Source organism: Homo sapiens, chromosome 10, assembly GCF_000001405.40.
Source record: "Homo sapiens chromosome 10, GRCh38.p14 Primary Assembly".
Lineage (NCBI taxonomy): Eukaryota > Metazoa > Chordata > Mammalia > Primates > Hominidae > Homo > Homo sapiens.
This window is the reverse complement of record NC_000010.11, coordinates 66,275,805-66,291,164: the sequence shown is the minus strand read 5'-3', so window position 1 is coordinate 66,291,164 and position 15,360 is coordinate 66,275,805. Positions and strand designations below refer to the sequence as shown.

The 15,360-nt window shown below is 32.9% G+C and overlaps 1 protein-coding gene across 8 annotated transcripts in view; it reads left to right on the top strand.

Moving 5' to 3' along the window:
• Positions 1 to 15,360, top strand: part of CTNNA3 (catenin alpha 3) — a 1,851,072-nt gene that overhangs the window by 1,472,430 nt on the left and 363,282 nt on the right. For all 8 annotated transcript variants that reach the window (XM_047425124.1, NM_013266.4, XM_017016152.2 and 5 more), the window contains one exon: positions 10,544 to 10,695. In XM_047425124.1, the coding sequence (XP_047281080.1) occupies positions 10,544 to 10,695 (152 nt within the window). The remainder of the gene's footprint in view (positions 1 to 10,543; positions 10,696 to 15,360) is intronic.

The following is a 15,360-nucleotide window of genomic DNA, read 5'->3' as shown; positions in this document are numbered from 1 at the left end:
ATCAGGAAGTTTGATGTCAAGCCTCAACATACCACACATTACTGCTTTCACACGTGTAAATCACTAGCAAAATAACTGGTACTTAGTAAGTGATCAGATGTTTGTCTTCTCTTATTTCCAAACGATCAGATATTATGATGGACACTGTCATATAGGTTATCATATTTTGTAATCCTGATCTGAGGCTTTCTGTCTCAGGAATAAAATGCAGCTGATACAAGTCACTTTCATTTTCACAAGAGAATATCAATTTACATCATTAGCATTTTTGTTTCTAAAACAAGTGTTGGAAGTTCTTTTGCCTGATAAACCTGAATGACCATCCTACAAGAAGTAACTCACTGTTGACATCAATTTCGAATAATTTGTGACTCACTTCTGTCAAAAGCCATGTTGAGATCATTTATTCATTTATGCATTGACTTTCTCTCTAGAATTCAAATCAAGACCTATTTCTGTATGTCATATCAGGTAGGTGCAAATCAAAACTCTAGTACTTTAACTCTCTGCAGACGATAATCTGATATTGTAAAAAATAAATAGTCTTATGAAGAATGCTTTTGCATTTTCTTAACATCATTTGTAAAGACTATTGTTCATTTTATTATTTAATAACCAATAACATAAATAAATACATGATACATTTATTCCTCTTAGTATACAGCATTGAGAAGGAAAAGTCTTTTCAAGTATATCCTGATGAAAATAGAAATTATCATTTTCATTTGAAAATTTCAAAGTGCTTAGGTTCCTTTTAGTAGGTAATATGAACCATATAACCCATTGCTTCATTTTTGCCTGGACCTCAAACAATCAATTTTATACTTAATTGCTGTACCTTAACTCTAGGATTTTTAATGTAATTATATTTCTGCTCCCTAACTTTGATTATGTGGCTCCTGTTGGCCTTGTTTTAAAGCTTATTGCACACTTGACTCTTTTTTAAAAGCTGCTTTTAATTCACTTTTGGGGGAGATGTAGGAGAGTTATAAAAATAAATCTCTACTTCTCTTTATTCACACATCGTATTATCTATGCATCTATCCACCCAACTTCTCCTACTACTATCCTTCTTTCCTTTTATCCACCCACCTAGCCATCCAGTCATCTACCCACCCTCTCATTCTTCCATTTATTCTTTTCAAATGAATTTCTGCTTGTAACCAGATATAGCCAGAGAAAATAAATACAATGCATGTATGATTGTGAAGAAACTTATGGAATCAGAGAGTAACTATGCTAGAGGAGAAGAACTAAACCAACTTTTTCATTTTATAGAAGGGAACTTTAGCTTATTTTGTTTTCTGATGTTTCATAATCATAGTTTACATAGATTCAGAAAGTTTTTGGATTTCTATAACTACTTTAAACATGCTTAGCATGGTTATAAAACTTCATTTTCTTGTATAGACTTGTTTAAAATAGTGTCTGTAAACCAACATGTGGAAATTCAGCTTTAAAAAGAAAAAGAAATTAGGAGGTAAATATTTATGATAGAAGTTACTTCAGTTGCCTTAAATAGTAAGCTCCCCTACTGCATTTAAAACAGGAGTTTTCTTCATTCATTCAACAAATATTATTAAAAGTAATAATTCAGTTCACCAAACTCTCACAGCCAAAAAGTTTACAATCAATTTCTATTCAGATTTCTAGAAAAGTATGTTACATGAGTTAAACATGCTTATATGTTTAAGCCGTATTAATTTGGGCTCCCCGAAGTTAATATATTGGGTGTAATAGTAGGAGGATTCAAAATAAATGAATATCAAATACAGGAAAAATAAATTTATTCTTTAAAAATCTTTCTTGTTTGTTTCCAAAGTGCTGGGATTACAGGCATGAGCCACCACGCCTGGCCTGTTCTTTAAAAATCTTAACCTTGTACCCCTTGCATATAGGAAGCTCTTATGCTTCCATGGGAAATACAGCTAATGCGGAAAATAAAATCACAACTATCAATGAGATTGAATCCATAATCTTTTACTGTAGTATTACAACTCCTTAAAATTAATTAACAGTTTTGTTAGAATGAAAGTAACAAATTGGAACTGAAATTCCAGACACTGTTAACATATATTGCAATTAGTACAATTTCATCAGCTGTAGAATCCCATAAACTTCAAGGGATTAACACAATTAATATGGCAAAGAGATAATCTATAATTTCTCAAACTACAAGGAAAACTATGTTTTTTGTTGTTAAGTAGTCATCTATATTTATACCAAGGAAGATACATGTTGACCAATAAAGCTAAGAATTGTATCATTAGATAGGAGCTAAAATACAATTTTGCAATAGCCCAGGGCATTTTGAGGTGCCAGAGAGGGTTTCTTTAGGGTTTTTTAACTCATAGTAGTGAGATATACACAGAATCAAAGATGATACCGATATCACTCATCCAACATTAAACCAGTGCCCTGCAGAGGACAGGTGCTTCACAAATAATTGATTTGCAAATATTTGAAATAGTGCTGTCCAATAGAACTTTTTGTGATGATAGAACTGAGCTATATCTACACTATCTAATATGGTAGCCATATGTGGTGGGCTAGAGTGACTAAGGAAATAAATGTTTAATTGTATTCATTTATAGTATTTTAATATAAGGTTAAATAGCAGCGTATATCTGGTGGCCACTGTATTAAACAACACAACTTTAGAAAATAGTGAAGTATGAGCAACTCAGTGGTGCACACGTTAAAAATTTTAAACATATTCATTCATTAATTTATTGCTATTTGCATTTGGTGTTAGGTTTCCTCTCCCCAACTCCCTACCCTTGTTGATTGAATTTTATTTTTTTTATTGTAGAATCTTAAAAAGTTTACAGAAGTCAAAAATGTACAAAAACTACTCTGAGACAAATCTATCTTCTCATATCCCTTCTACCTTACTCTTAAGATTCCTTGTATATAACAAGTCTTCTTATTCCTTTATCCTTAATGTGAATCTTTTTTAAAAATGTGTGTGAAGATAGGCAAATTAAGATGTGTTTTCTTATTTCTCCTTCATTCTTGCACAAAAATAATACACATATATATCTGTATATACAATTTATGTTTATATCTGCATATAAAATTATGAGTTCAAGCCAACATCTTCAGTTCAGTCCAGTCCCATGGGGTTCATCTTTGTCTTACCACAGCAGTTTGTCATTCCTTAGCAGTACCTCCCTGTTTACATAGTGAGAACCCTGGCTCTCAAATATATCACATGTTTACATATTGTCTCAATACTCTCTGGGTATTCCTTATACTGCTTTTCCAACTCCACTATTTCCTCAGCCCCACGTTTTGATCTTTTGGATTCACCTCTTGTTTTAAGAGTATGTGTGCCAAGTGTCTTCCTGACAGTTAATAGAAATTAAATATTCTGTGTACTTGAATGTCTGAAATAATGCCATCATTCACTTAACTGATGGATTGGTTGGATATTGAATTTCAAGTTTAAAATAAATTTTTCTTAGAATTAAGGCATTATTTTATGTTTTTTCCTTTGGTATCTAGCCTTTCTCATGAAAAGTCTAATGCCAATCTGATTTTAATATTTTGCTGATAATCTTTTCTCTCTTAAAGATGTAGCTCTTCTCTTTATCCTAAGTGTCCTGCAATGTTTTGTGGGTATGTCTCAGGGTGGTTATTCTTACATCCAAGCAATAGAACATAGTGGCTATGGGCACAGGCTCTGAGTCTGAGTGCCTAATTTTGAATTCTTACTCTACTACCTACTACTTTCCTGAGGAAACAAAGTGACCTGACAGAGTTTATACTTTGAGAGCTTTCTGTCAGGATTTTAGAAGTGGCTGAGTACAAGAAAACACATACAGTAAAGTAAGAGACATAGGAGCTTTACAAAAAGGTAGGGCAGAGGCAAGGGGCTCTCATTCTGTTACCCAGGCTGAACTGCAGTGGTGTGATCATAGCTCAATGAAGCCTTGAACTCCTTGGCTCAAGTGATCCTCTTGCTTCAGCCTTCCAAGTAGTAGAAACTACAGGCACATGCCACCATGCCTGGCTAAGACACAGGTGCTTTAATAAACGTATATTTCAGGCATTAGCGTGTCCAAGAGACAGGATTTCCTAATATACTTGGAGGCAAGTGTGGGGGTGCTGATTGAGGGAAGTTTCGCAGAGAAGCTTATGTTTAAACTGAATCTGATTTCAAATTACATGAAGGTATTAAGTTATCATATGTACCCTCAAATATGTACATCTATTATGTATCAATAAAAAATAAATTTATAAAAGTAAATAAATAAACAATAATCTGAATCTGAAGAATGGGCAGAAAGATACCAGATAGACAAGGTTGGAAAAATGGTTCTACTCTGACACATAATTATAGACAACTGTGCAAAGAGAGTTGAAGTTTGTAGAGGTAAGATCAATTCTATTTATTTTCAGCCAAGGAATCCCCAGCAATATGTGAAGGACCACCTTCATTCAACACCACTGGTCAAAGGAAGATACATTTCTCCTACTAGATGTGATCCCACCCTATAAACCTCTGTACCTTTTAAACCTCTGCACCTTTTTACTCTAGACTTCTTTCCCTGTTCCTCTAGTTCAGGATACCCTCTGAGTACTGAGCAGCATTTTGCTAACACTACAGACCTTGGAGCCCTTTTACCTTTCTATTTTTCTTTAACTTTTTCCCTGTTGTAACTGTTTTTCTGAATGGTAGAAAGTGAAGAAATTAAGATTTGATCTTGAGCAATAGGATGGTGAGTGATTCTAAAAGAGGAAGATTTAACAGTCTAAACTCAAGATGCAGGAGTAGATTTTTTAAAAAATCAAAGTAATCCCTAGTCTTAACTAGCAGAAACCAGATCCCTGGAAGAGATATTAAAAGGGAACAAGAGAATATACTCTGCAGAAAGCTAAAAAGTAAAAGATGGTATGTGCCAAATATTAGGGAAGATACAGAGCAACTAGAATATTTAGGCATTGTTGATAGGGGTAAAAATTTTTCCAACCACTTAGGATATTGTTGATGTTTACTAATGTGAAATATATGGATATACTATGGCCCAGCAAGTCTACTGATATGTATATTCCCTAAAAATGTACACATATATTCACCAAAAAACATCTACTAGGATATTCATAGCACCATATATATTATAGTCCCAAACTAAACATTATGCAAATGCCCATCAACCATAGACTGGATAAATACATTTTAGTATAATGACATGCTATACAGCAATGAGAATGAATAATTCCATATACAACTTACATAGAAAAAAATTTAATGTTTAGTGAAAGTTGATACAAAAAGTATATGCAGTATGATTCTATTTGCATGAACCAAAACAGTTGCACGAACTTCTTATTCATATGCTTAATGCCACTTTCTACTATTAATTCTCTCCCAGTTAATTAACATAACATAAATAAAAATAGTATTGATAATTTAAACATTTGAGAATTCTTACTGAGAAATGCAAAGAAAACCAAGCAATTTAAAAAAATAAAATTTATTAACAATTTAAAATAAATAAAATTTATAAAGTAGTACATAAAAGAACAAAGGTCATCATAGAACATTACTTGGTTCAGGTCCAACTTTGAATATTTAAGTAGTCACATTTGTGTAAATGATTACTGTGATGTAAACAAATTAGAAAATGATGTGAGGAAAAGCATGAAAGAGCTTAATCTTCATCATATTAAAAATTCATTGGATACACTTTTAATATAATTAAATCAGAAATATTATTTATTAATATTAACCCATTATGTAGACATATGAAGATTTTTTAAATTAAGCTACAGGGAAAGAAGATGAGTTTCTAAGTCACTGGAGAGACTCAAAGGTGGACACTCAGGCTAATTAAATGATTAGCGTTTCATATGTAGAAAACCTACTCTGCCAGAGGGGGAAAACATAATGTATCAGCTTCATGAAGCTATATCTAAGTCCTTTCTCTCTAGTATTTTATTTTTTACTTTTTGAAGATATTCCAGATATTCTTGAAAGATAGAGTAGAGTATAACACAGAGGTCAAAAGTGCTGCTCTTGTTAACCATGTGATGTGTGATAAAGGATCAGAGTAGGTCAGTACTTTGGGACATATCATTTGAAAAATGGTGAAATCCTTACTAGTCATTGATTTGTATGATATATGATCTATGAGGTACCAAACATATTCTTGATACATAATATTGGCTCCCTAAATATTAAATATATATGAACCACAATAATTAGCATTTATTGAATAAATGAAAAAAAGAAGAGTATAAAGTGGTATTTGTAGAAGTCATTTATATGCTTAATGCCACTTTCTAGTATTATTAATTCTCTCCCAGTTACTTAACATAACCTAAAGAAATGATGACTTAGCATTATGTGAGCTTTCAAAGGCAAATTTCTTTACCACCAGTAATTTTCAAAGGTAATGGTATAATTAGAAATATTTTAATCTGGGCTTTATTAATGGTAGAAAACAATTTGGTGATATCATTTTTAGATCATTATTGTAATGAGTCTGAATTCTTTTCTGACCTATTTAATTCCATAATAATGTATCCTCACCTACTTTCAAATGCACATAATAAATTTATCAAGGATTAAGAAGGGATGAAATATTTTTGGGCTACTACCAGACAGAAGCTCAAGGCCTAGGAGAACTTGGCTGTGTAGGTCTGTTAACTGCATTGTCAGAAAATTATCATGAATTCCCCCAGGAGAGCAGCAATTCAGAAACCCCATGGACTTTACTTATCAAAAGAAAGCAGTGCAGATTTAGGGTTCAGAGAGCTGGCTCTATATTCTCAATTACCAGCCAATCTCTTATTAACTATGTGACCTCAGTTTCCTCATAGGTAAATCAGGATAGTAATAGTTCCTGCCTTACAGGGCTTCCGTGAGGATTATGAGACATGCATCTAAAATGCTTAGCACAGTGCCAAGATGAGTGAGAATGGTAGCTATTATTCTGTCTATTCTGAATAAAGTAGGCAGAGAAAGTATAGGCTGCAAAAGAGTTCAGAACTGGTTCTGAATTTGGCTGTGTAAAATAGACAAGATACTTTGAAGTCGCCGGGGTGTTGACCAAAAGGCCGCCTTTGTTTGATAAATCTACACTCCAAAGTTCAGAACAGCTTATCCTACCTGGCATTTCCATTGATTAGAATGGATGTGTTTAAGGTATCCCTCTCTTTGATCAATAATTCTATAGCATGATTGTATATTAATGTCTAAACCTCATTTTCTGAAAACCTAGGTAGATTATGGAGTAAAGACAGGCTTGTCAATTTGCTATTCTTCCTAAATTACCATAAACTGATTACTTATTTATACTCATTTTGTATTTTCTTGAAAGCATTAAAAAAATTTACTCCTAGTTTGATCCAAGCAACCATATGTCCATAGTGTAAGTAAAGTACACCCACAGCTGATGTTTAAGCTAATGAAATGAGAAATGAATTACATATCAGCTTTGAATAGTTCATTTATGTTGTTAGAGTGAGAAAGTAGTAGTTTCCATCTGTACTTCAGAAATTAAACATTTGCTTCTGAAAGATTTTATTTTAATTGAAGCTAATATTAATTTATTAGTAAAAGGCCCTTAGAGGAGTTAAAATGAAATCATTTTGCACTAATGAAAAGGCTGTGTTGTATTTTTTTGTAAGATTCCTTAAATCTTTCTTGCAGTTACTTCACAGGGCAGTGAAAAACAGATCTTTACATGACTTTAAATTTTTCTTTTTTTGCCAAAATCTACATAGGAAGATGGTGGGAACTGTATCAATAATAGCAGATTGAAAGTATTAATAGACAGAATTAAATTATTACTGTATTGCACACTTGTTTGGTATATGAGAAAAAGCATTTTTTAGTGGGGATGACTATGAATAAAGTTATGTAGCCGACAGGTCCCTACAGGTTTTGAGGACATATCTCTTTTTACTTAACTATGTCTTTGGAGTGAATAGAGCATATCACAGAGGCTAGAAGCCATTTTGTCCTGTTCTTTAGAGTAGTAGTTTTGACGGTTGGTTTGCTGTCTACTCCAGAACCTGAAGGAAATGTGAAATAACTGGACACATTTTCTTAGATGTTCCCTCCTCTTTTAACACTACAAAAGTAATGATTAACTCATTAAGCAGATTTGAATGTTCCTATAAGCCTGCATAAATATATTTTTGGAGCTTTTCAGTTGTTAACAAAACCAAAATCACATTTAAATGCAAGCTGGACATGTTTCATTGTACCTACTCTTTGCTTGATTTTACATATTAATTAATTAATTCATTCATTCATTTAATCACTTAATTCATTCGATCATTTATTTACTGCATGCCAACCTATGCACTTAGGATATAAACAAAGAAAAGCTTCAAGGAACAATTGAAAACTTGTAAACACTGTATTAACATGATGTGTTCATAAAACAACTTATTGAGTGTCCATCATTTGAGAGATACTATAATACTTAATGCTAAGAGCAGGTGCCATTCATAAGATTATACTTAAAATGAACCTGAGAATGAGCAGAATTTAGACATGGGAAGAACTATGCTGTGGATGGAAATAGTAGATGATGATGAATAGAGACAGTGGGGCTAAAAATTCTCAATGGATTTGGGATATATTTACATAGTAGAGCAGATGGCACTTAGTAGGTATTTGGATGTAAGGAATAAAGAAGTATAGGAGGTCAGATAAAACACCTGGGTTTTTTTCATGAATGACTCAGCACCAACATAGAATATGGTAAAGGAAAATTAGGTTTCCTGGGTAGAAAGAAATGTATTTAGATTTAGATAGAATATGTTTGAGATGTTATAAAAGATTCAGGCAGAATTTTGCCATTGTCAGTTGGATATACAGTTCTGAAATTAAGGAGAAAGGTCTAGATTAGAGATATACTTTGAGAGTCACATCCATATATAAGAGAATTGTGGTTTGAGATTGTTTCTCCTAGGCAAAGTGGTATGAGTTTGCTCTCCCTCTTGCTTTATTATTCCGTCCGCTGAAAGGGAGACTGTGATTTGAAGGTTTCTCAGTGCAAAGTGGTATGACCCAATAGAAGTTTCTGTTATCCCAAAAGTTACCCTGATGATAGCCATATATCCACTCTTCAAAATGGTAATCACTAGTCACATGTATGTGTTAAGCAGTTGAAATGGGATGAGTATGACTAAGGAATTGAATTTAAAATTTGAGGCTAATGAATTTAATTTTTAATAGCTATATGCAGCTAGTAGCCACCTTTTATTAGACAATGTGCCTAGAGAATAGACAGAGAATAGGAGCACAGTGGATAATGTCAGCAGATATGGTGGCTCAGAAGTAGGGTATAAGTGATACATTTTGGCAGCTAGAGGAAAGAAAGGACCAGATAAAAAGAGTGCCCATGTATATCATCAAAATTTCCTCATATCAATAACATGGCAGGCAGAATTGCAAGAGATGGTATGCCATACAAGCAGATACAACTTAAATGTAGAAAAATAACATTTATTGATATTTTTATACCAGTCAAAATATTTCTATCTTCCAGGTTTATAATTATTTCTTCTAAAAATTAATCTTTTTACCCGACATCTTCATATGGGCAAGAGGCTTCCTCACTATGATATAGTAGATTAGTTTGAGTGTAAAGTGTAAAGTCCCAAAAACTGCATTTTGGGACTCTGAGTTCACATCTCTAATTACACATTAACAGAATGAATCTGTGGAAGAGTCTTGATTTCTCTGTGTCCTAGTTGTTAAACTATTAATACTCAGTTAATACTGGGGTTAAGATTTGAATCACATTGAACACTTAGAAAAGTACCTTGAGCCTAGTGAAGAGATAATAACTGTTAATATCATTAACCTTAAAAGTAAAATTGAAGAAGCGTTTTTATTTGAAACTATTTTGAAGCCTTAATTTAAAAAGATAATCCATGGATTGGCTTACTGATAGAAGCATCCCTATAGTCAGTCAGTGTTTTGTTATTTTAAAGATAGTTTTCATATGAGAATGCCAATTCCTTTTCACTAATTTTTTTTATTATAGAGAAAACATCTTACTAAAAGGAAGTTTACAATATTTTTATTATTTCTATAAGGCAGAATTACTACTTTTAGCTAAATTTTCTTCTGTTTAGCAACTCAATTGCTTTCTTTCTTTAAATATCTTTGTGTTTACAATTCCAACTGTTTTACACACCAATTCCTTTTTGTAATGTCTTGTGGTTTATATTGAATAGGATGAGAAATGATTGTATGGTCCCAAGGTTTTGTAAAAACAAAGATGATATAAAGGAGAAAGATAATCTTTTAAAACATTTATATAATAATGCCTTTCTCTCCAGAAGCCTGGGGTTTAGAAAAAAAAAATGCCTTTAATTGTCTTTGATTCGTTTTACTTTTCAGAGATTCAAGATAATCCTGCTAAAATTTGTGTATCTCTATATTTAAAAAATACAATTAAAGATCTATTAATCAAATATTTGTTTAAAACCAAATTCTACATTTCCTGGAAACTACTGTATAAATCCAAAAATACAAAGAGGACAATCTTCTCCTTATTCTTTATTTTAACAGTAATTCCTGAATTTGTAACACAAGTGAATGTTGCCTTGGAAGCCTTAAGCAAAAGCTCATTGAATGTGTTGGATGATAATCAATTTGTGGACATCTCAAAGAAGATCTATGATACAATTCATGATATCAGATGTTCAGTCATGATGATTCGGGTAAGTTTGCTTTTCCTTCCATTGAATTATTGCAATGTTCTTCACCATCTGGAATGCCTGGGATGACTGCAAGAAATGCTTTATTTCTATGCTGTAATGTCAATGCTGAAATCTATTAAAACTTTAGAAGTTCATATGTATCCCCAAAGTCAGATCTACTGTCACAAACAACACTTTTACTTATGTATTTGGTTATAACTTACACAAATGAGTGCATTTTACTGCTGCGTGTGCAGAAAAGATAGGATTTGTTGGGTGCAGGATTTGTTGAGGTGTCTCTTAGCATGATCAGAAGCCAAAGAAAAATACATAAAGTAATTTGCTTTTTTATTTTTGTTGAACAAAAAGGAAAGAATCTTTCTTATCACTGTAGTGGAATTGATAGGAAAACGTGGTATTTTATGGCCAAACCCTCTCATCCTAGATCATAAAATCACAGAGTGTTCTGCAAGAAATCTCACTTGGAGTTGCTGGCAACAACAAACACTTCAAGGGTCCCAGTCTGGGAGTTGTCTGTTTGGGGACATATATTCCACCTTCCCAGGCGTGAGAGCACAATTTGTTGCAGGCACACTGTATATACAGAAACCAGGATTGTTTTCCCTCAATTATTAATGTAAAATGTTCTTTTAAATGTTACCAAAAAATGCACATTCTTTGGAAAATGCATATGTAAAGATATGGAGATACCTTAAGTGGATTCACCTGAAGACAGACTCTGAAGTAAGGATTTGTGTTATCAATAGTCTATTTAAGAGAAAGTGAGACAAAGTGAGGCAGAGAGGGGAAGAAAACCAAGAAGGTGTAATTATGGGTCACTGCAGGCAACTGGGGCTTGGGGCTTGATCCTGCTGTTAAACTCTGGGTAGTACTGCAGAATGCACCTCAGCACTTCAGAATTATCTTACCTGACATGAACAAACTGGATATTTAGCCACCTATTCATCCTGGGTGAAAAGCTACCCTCAGAGGTGTCACCTGAACCTCATGTTCAGGGCCAATCAAGCTTTTGTGGCCAAAGAAAGTAATTCTCAGGCAGGGTAGCAGGTGCTTGCTGTAGGAAGATTCAGTGGGACTGGTGAATATAATTTTTAAGTATGAATAGAATTCAATTTTTAAGCCTCTGGACTTAACTGTTAGTAAGTCTGTAAGATGGATATAGAAGTGCTGAGAATATATGAGTGGAGCATCAGTAGTATTAATATCTGATAGGCCTGAATGTCACTGGCTATACTGAGCAGTCCATAAGTCATTTGTGGACCTTGTAAAGAAAAGGGCCAATAAATATTACGGAGTCTGGCAGGGCAGCAGGATGCTGTGGAAGAGCTTGTAAGACAAAGTCTAAAGGTGTCAAGACAAAGAATCTAGTACACTGAGGCTTGGGAAAACCTGAAAGCAAACCAATTACCATATCAAAGAGAAACCTCAGGATAAATACTTGTGAGCAACCTACAACTATTTCTAAGTGATTAGAAAATGTGGCCCTGTACCAATGACTATGTCTGGGCAGCAAGAAACTTTACCAATTTTCTTGTTGCAAAATTTTTAGGCCTTACCTCTGTGGATTAGTGGACTAGTAATAACCCAAAGCTGAGAGGTAGATGAATCCATAAAAGAAACATTAAAAGTGTAAAGAAGGCACATGAACTTCAGGATATAGTCTTGCCAGAGTGAAACCTCTCCATTTTCACTATTCCTGAGTGGATATTTGAGAATATAAACCAGTGAGATAGCACAGGGGAACCAGGGTACGGAATGCATTTTTCTTCTTACTAAAGCTATCTAGGGATGGAAAAAAACATCTTATAGCTTCTCCCAGTTAGATGTTCCAGTATTTTTACATTTCCTCATTATCAAGATAGCTTACTTATAGCAAATCAAATTATCTTGCCATTATTTTTACATATTCCTCATATACAGTGGTCCTCTGTAGGGCAGGAGAACAATTTATTGTAATTATTAATAGCCTTTGAGAGCAGTAATTTTCTCCCATAGTCATCTCTTTTTCAAGATAAATACTTCCATTTCTGTTAACTTTTTCTCATAAGAAAAATTTAGTATTTTGTGTTCTTCACTAGTCTTTATTTAATTTTCAACAAACTTCTCAAAAGAGACTATCAAGAATACATTCAAATTAGTGCCTGTCCAATGTCAAATAAATTAGAAGACTTGTTCTTATGTTATTTCTACCAATATAGCCAACTGCTATTAGCCTATATTTTTTTCCATTTAAACATTATATTTATTGGATAGAGGTTGACTTCCTTTTCCTTTTTTTTATCTTGTATGCCTATGTATGCATCCTTTATTTTGATTTGTTCTGTTCTTGTTTTTAAGTCCTAATCCTATTACACTGTATATGATTCTTCATATGATTTATCAGATTGTTTTCTGGTTTGGTTGTTGAATTTATCAAGTTAGTATCAATCAGAAACATGAAATGTAGAGTCTTAGCTTCTTCAACTAAATAACTAATAAAACATTAAATTATATTGGTCCTTTATCTGACTGTAATCACTGCTAGAGAGATTCAGTTAAGAGCATTAGTGTTAAGAACCTTTAGTATCTGATGTTCCATGCAACTGAGAACATGTCTCTAAGTACATGGTTTGAAAGAGTGTTTTCTGAGTTTTAAGGCAGATATATTATTTCTTTAAGTACACTTTATGGTCAAAAAGATAAAGCAAATAAAATCAGAGCTGCTGTACTTGAAACCAGGGAGGAATACCCAGAGGGTCATCGTCTCTATCTCTATACCCCCAGTTCCCTAAGCAGCCTCTAGGGGAACCTCTACACGACTTCTACAGGGATTCCTTGGAAAATGATCCATAAACTTATGGACTTAATCGCTAACTGGGTTATAGCATAAAAATAAATTCTCACTTAGGTGCAAGTAAATGAAAATCTATCCGTTTTTTTCTTAAAGACTGTCCCTTTTTCACAGAAGAGAATAAACTTGATCTGGTATAATCTTCTTTTTACAAGGTCAAATTTAATGTTGGCCAATATTCTGGCCTTAGAACTGCAAAGTATTTGATCCTTTCTTCAAGGTATCTAAAAAGTGTCAACATTAAAGCAATAAATGTGTAATTATACAAGCTCAGGGAGGGATAGGCTATGCTATTGAGGATATTTGTAAGTGTATCAGAATCCCATTTTATGTCTAAATTTTTATGAATACTCTTCAGTGCCTTTGAAACAATAAAATACTAACTCAAGATCAGAACTTGGCATTTTATAGGGTTTTATAAAAATATGATTATGTCTTTACTATTTGTTTTGATCAATAATTATGCTAGCAGTTGTTTAAAATTCTAAGATATTTAGAATGTCACTAAATACTGTGACATTTAGTATTGCTATTTCCACTGGACTCAGTGTGTAGACAAGTGAGGTTATAGACTATCATACTTAGCACACTCAGAGAATAAGCAGTATTAAATATTTTGATCTGTTTGATATTTAATATACATGTGTAAATTATACAACTATTAAGAGTGCATAATATAATGGTTAAAACTAAAGCAAGAAACAAATCTTACTTAGCCTCAATTTCATCCTTTGTAAGATAGACATGGTATTAAACCTACTTCAAAAGATTATTATGCTTACATGAGTTAATAGAAATGAAATGCTTAATAAACAATAGGCTATAATAAGAAGATAGCTACTACTACTATTATTACCACATAGAGTTAGTACTTACTAGACCTACTGAAGCTAATTAATATTTTTGCATATCTTGACGAATATTAACTACATAAGCATGCTTGTAGAGCAACATGAAGGGCAAAGTCCTAAATCAAGAAATCTCTTCTTTTATAAGGCAATGTTTAAATAAGAGGATACTTATGCTTATTAACATCAGGTATCTAAATGATAGACTGTTAAATGCAAATTATGCTTTTGAACCTATATTAATTTAAGGTAGTATTATAATTCTGCACATAATTTTTATAGACCCCTTAAAACATAAATGAGAACTGAACTCTCAATGTTCATCTTTTTTTGGTAAAAGACATTTAACCACAAATGGAGGAAATTTTAAAAGAGTACATAATTGAATTGAGAGAGAGGGTAGTATAAGTGGCCCGCAGTGAAGTATCCTCACAAAAAGAAACAAGATTCAGGTAAAATTTTTCCTATAACGGGCATTCAGAATGTAGATTTCACATGTTTTGTTTGTGAATTTTCATATGTGCCTTATCAAAGGCGCTTCAAAAATATAGAGATACTTTCCAAAGCCAAGTGTGTAGATTTTCAGGTCCATAACTCAAGTTTGCATTTTCTGTGTCAGTTTTCTAACTCTATATATCAGGGAATAGGAACATATTTTGCATATCTGACTTGATGAAGGTTAATTTTTGAGGAAACAAAGAAAAATAAGATAAATTTACATGGCCCAGTTTACATTAATTGTTTTTACATGAATCATTTACATGGCTTCTAGAATTGGGACACAGTCCAATATAAAATATCAGCTTATATAACAATCCAATCTTTGGGTCTGATTCTATTTCACCTACAGGAATGAACAGATTTATGGCTTTTCCTGGAATTAAATATAACTTTCTCAATTGAGATTACCTGCAGTGTCACAACTTCTATAAATTTCTGTCATTTTCTTCCTTAACATTTTTTTTTTCTTGGTGGCCTTGTAGACAT